Source organism: Homo sapiens, chromosome 8 (genome assembly GCF_000001405.40).
Source record: "Homo sapiens chromosome 8, GRCh38.p14 Primary Assembly".
NCBI classification, from domain to species: domain Eukaryota; kingdom Metazoa; phylum Chordata; class Mammalia; order Primates; family Hominidae; genus Homo; species Homo sapiens.
The window spans coordinates 86,041,902-86,047,108 of NC_000008.11; the positions used below are offsets into that span (position 1 = coordinate 86,041,902).

Genomic DNA, 5,207 nt, shown 5'->3' on the forward strand with positions numbered 1-5,207 from the left:
AGACAAAGAAAGTGGTTTAGGACACCAGGGCTCAGGGAAGATACCACATATTTTCTTCAAAGCTGCAAACCACAGATGATGATTTCCATGTGTAGTGGGTGGCACAGTGACCCCTAAAAGATACATCCAAGCAGAACCTCAGACTGTGACCTTATTTGGAATGAGTCTTTTCAAATGTAATTAAGGTAAGGATCTAGAGATGAAATCATCCTGAAATAGGATGGAACCCTAAATCCATTGATGAGAATCCTTATAAAAGACAGAAAAGGAAAAGACACAGGGACACACAGAGGAGAAAGCCAAGTGAAGACTACAGCAGAAACAGGTGGGCAGCCATGAGCCATGGAGCGCCAAGGGCTGCTGGCCACCACCAGAAGCTGGGAGAGAGGGACAGAGCAGATTCTCCCTCAGAGCCTCCTGAAGGAACCAAACCCGGAGACACCTGGATTTTGGACTTCTGTCCTCCAGAACTGTGAGGGAATGAATTTCTGTTGTTTTAAGCCACCTGGTTTGTGGTATTTTATTACAGCAGCCCTAGGAAACTAATGCACCGTCTTAGGTCTCAAGATTGAAATTGAGGTCATATTAACTCATGTTTAAGGTTTTAGAACCTCCCTCTGTGAATTTAATTCTTGTTAAAAATCACTTTTTAAAGTAAAGCTTCTAATGGCCAGTTGTGGCGGCTCACATCTGTAATCCTAAGACCTTGGGAGGCTGAAGTGGGAGGATTGCTTGACGCCAAGAGTTCAAGACCAACCTACCATTATAGTAAGACCTCATCTCAAAAAATAAAAAAGTAAAATTTAAAATAAATAAATAAAGCATCTGTAGTAAAAGTTTTAAAAAAATCCCAAGCACAAGTCAATCATTATTAGTCATATTAAATGGAAAGTGTACATTAGCCTAAAGATTTTAACTTTCCAGAATTCTATTCATTTTTCACCATCACGTATTTATATGTAGCTAATAGACAATGGTATAATATACAATAGTATGAAAAGGTGACTACAACTCATGTGAGCATGATTTCTGTTCTACAGGTTATGTTAAACATTATAGAACCCTTCAAAACATAGTCATTAACATTCTGTATATGTCATTGAAGTAGATCTTTTAAACAAACATTTTTAAAATATGGCAAGCAAAGCTGTCTTCCTCGGTACTGCCTATGGAGATGGCAGTCATCTTCTCCATGGCATCATGGCCGTTCTCAGATCCCTCATGAAGCCCAAGATCATCAAAAAGAGGACCAAGAAGTTCATCTAGCACCAGTTAGACAAACATGTCAAAATTAAGCGTAACTGACGGGAAACCCAGAGATATTGACAACATGGTTCGTAGAAAGTTCAAGGGCCAGATCTTGATGCCCAACACTGGTTATGGGCGCAACAAAAAAACACAAAGCACATGCTGCTGATGGCTTCCGGAAGTTCCTGGTCCACAACGCCAAGGAGCTGGAAGTGCTGCTGATGTGCAACAAATCTTACTTTGCTGAGATCACTCACAATGTTTCCTTCCAGAACCGCAAAGCCACATGGAAAGGGCCACCCAGCTGGCCATCAGAGTCACCAACCACAATGCCAGGTTGTGCAGCAAAGAAAATGAAGAGACAGCTCATGTGCATGTTTTGTGTTTCAATAAAACCACCATAAAAAACTGAAAAATAAAATATGGCAGGCAAAGATGACAATGAACTATCACATAGCTTCCAGGAAACAGAAAAAGGGTGAGAGAGAATATACTAAGTAAGAGAGCTCAGAACAAATAATAATATAAGACAAAACCTAAACGAGTATTACATAGCAATGAAAGAAGTTTACATTATCATTCAGGAGACACTTGTTTTTTCTATTAGGAAATAAGTAAAAGTGATTCCACAAAAGTAATAAGAAAGGTAATAAGAAAAATGAAACATGGCTGGGTGTGGCGGCTCGTGCCTGAAATCCCAGCACTTTTGGAGGCCAAGGCAGGCAGATCACTTGAGGCCAGGAGTTTCAGACTAGCCTGGGCAACATGGGGAAATTCTGTCTCTACTGAAAATACAAAAATTAGCCAGGCATAGTGATGCGTATCTGTGGTTCCAGCTACTCTGGAGGCTAAGGTGGAAGGATCATGTGAGCCCAGGTGGTTGAGACTGCAGTGAGCAGAGATCATGCCACTGCACACTGGTGTGGGCAACAGGAGTAAAACCTTGTATCACAAAAAAAAAAGAAAAGAAAAGAAAAGAAAGAAAAGAAAAGGTGAGGTTTAATGTGTTTATTATAAAATAAACTGAGTGCTCTTTTCACTCTATTGATATTAACCCTGGTCAAATAAAGAAAAGAATATCCACATTTAGAAATTGATTTGCAATACCTAATTTCACCAGAGGATGGTAGAATAGGGTCAAAATAGATGAAAAAGTGCTAGTTTATCTATTTTTCTCCCAGGAGTTCACAATAAAGCTGAATGATATGTCTAATTTGTAGGAATGTAAAAATCTATTTATTCGACTGTCAAAATCTATTTATTCGAAAGTACAATTTAGAAAGGTAAGATGATTGGTTGGTTGGTTAATTTGCTTGTTGGTCTGTTTTGTTTGCAGTAGGAAAAGGGAGGGGGGAGAATTCCATTCTGGGGGATAAACTGACATAGAAGTTCCTTGTCACACCAAATCAAGATAACAGGAAACTAAGCCTCTGAGAGAACCACGAGCTTATTAGAGAAACAGTTAAAAAACAAACTGAGTTGATTTGTAAGAACTTTACAAAAGCTGGAGAGAAGAGAACTAATAACCCAATCACAACCTTCCATTCAAAAGTCTTTAAGGTTGGGAGGATTCTTAGCGAGGGCCCGGGGGTACTCAGCAGGAGAGAGAAGGATTTTTTTTCTACGAATGAAAATTTCCAGTGTACATCCCGCTAGGCATCTTGTCTCCCTCGTCATGCCTCTTCCTTTCCCGTCTCATTCATCCTTCTACACAGAGGCGAGTGATTTAGAAGATCTTCAAAGGGAACTCTGGCTGCTGAGCAGAGAAAAGGGGATACAGACACCAGTCCACAATTCATTTTCAAACACTAACTGAGTGCCTGCTATATGTGGGCTACCAGATCCCAGGGTTTCAAAGATAATAAGACCTGGTCCGTGCTCTTGAGAACCTAAAAACGTAGGAGTCAAGAGGCACTGCCTACCTCTCAATCCTCCTATCCTGTAGGCTGTCTCATTAATGGTCCCCCAGTCACCATGTACACAAGCACTCTGACCTTGAGAAATCTTTGACTCAGTGTTAAGCCCCTCTTCAAAGGCTCTGACACCCAATTGTTTCCCTCTACCTGGGTTATTGAGCCTGGGTTGCCTGGAGCATGTGTCTGAGATTCTTCTGATCTCGTCTTCTGCAGACGGCCTCTCCAAATTACAAACTCCCTGACTTTGCTGATCTCTGAGGCTTGACCGTCTTCCTAGACCAGCCCCACTTCTCCTAGACCTCGCGCCTTGCCCTGCATTTAATAACCTTTGTTGTCCCAGCAATAACCTAGTCCTGCCCTTGGACTTCAGGATGCTTGCTGGGCGGGCTCGTTACGGCTGGTGAGGGTAGAAAAGCACCTCAAGGCAACCTACACAGGCAAAGATGAAAGTCAATTATCCGTGGAAACTAGAAATATTTACACCATAACTCAGCATAATATTGTGTGGCATTGTTTCTTTGTGGCAGCATAGACAAAATCTAAGTCATCAGAACCTGACTTTTGCATTCTCAATTCTTGGAAATATCCAACAAAGAGATTAAGGGAAAAGTTCTGAGTTTCTGATTCCATATCTGCTATTTACCTACTGATGACCTTGGATAAGTTACTTCACATCTGTGAGCCTCAGTTTCCTCAGATAGAAACCAAATTAAGTATAATACCCTATAGCTTTGTTGTGAGGAGCAAATGAAATAATGTATGTTAAAGTCTTAGCATAGTACTAGGCACAGAGTAAGTTTTCAATAAATATTAGGATAAAATGACCATGGCAGCATGTGAAAGCGACTTCCTGATCACTTAAGAAATCTGAAAGTATTAGCATTAGAAATTTTGATTGCTTTTTTTGTATTCTAAAAACTTCAGGGGGCAAATATATGAAATATTCAATTAAAAAGAACCAGTTTTCACATCTCATTAGTCAATCCCCAGTTCCTATCGGGGTGCTTATTCAAGCTTCTCCCTTTTAGATTGTTTCCCTTTTGCCACTTGCATTTTTAATTGCATTTTCTTTTTACTATAGACTTAAAAGAAATACATCAATTTTTCTGTTTGTTTGTTTGAGACAGGATCTCACTCTGTCACCCAAGCTGGAGTGCAGTGGCATGATCTCTGCTCACGGCAACCTTGACCTCCCAGGATCAAGTGATTCTCATGCCTCAGTTTCCTGAGTAGCTGGGATTACAGTTGTACACCACCACGTCCAGCTAATTTTTGCATTTTTAGTAGAGATGAGGTCTTGCCGTGTTGGCCAGGCTGGTCTCAAACTCTTGGCCTCAAGTGATCCACCCGCCTCAGCCTCCCAAAGTGCCAGTATTACAGGGGTTAGCCATTGCACTCAGACGAAATACATCAATTTTTTTAATGTTAAGGTAGAAATAGGTGTAAAATGAAAAGTAAACCTTTCCCTCCCACCCCAGACTTATTCTTTTTTTCTCCAGAAATAATCACTGTCTCCTTTATCAAATTCTTAGCAATCTTTCAAGCTTCTGAACATATTTTTTTCACACAAATACATACTGTAATACTTCTGTGCTTTTTGCTTATTCATTTAACACAATAACATGTTATATAACAAAACTTACAGATCTACCGCATTATTTTTAATGGCTACATAGTAGACCTTTGCTTAAAGGTAACATGCTTTAAGGCATTCTCCTACTAATAGGCATTTATTTATGACTGTTAATATAATAACAATGTTTTATACCTTATGCACAATGTTTTATACACACTTTGGCAAGAATATATGTAGGACAAATTGCTACCAATGATGCAATTAGATCAAAGGTCAATGCATTTTTAATGTGAGTAGATATTACTACCAAACTGTCCCCCAAGGCCATGAGGTGGCACCAAATTGCACTCCTCTCTCTCTGCAGGGCATGAGAGTATCTGCTTGCCTGCAACCTTCTACCATATGTAGTATCCAAGTTTAAAACTGTTTTGATCTAATAGGTAAAAAAAAATTCTTTGCCTTTTAAA

At 39.8% G+C, this 5,207-nt stretch overlaps 1 pseudogene; it reads left to right on the forward strand.

Annotated features, from left to right (window-relative positions):
• Positions 1,136-1,642, forward strand: RPL32P4 (ribosomal protein L32 pseudogene 4; annotated as a pseudogene).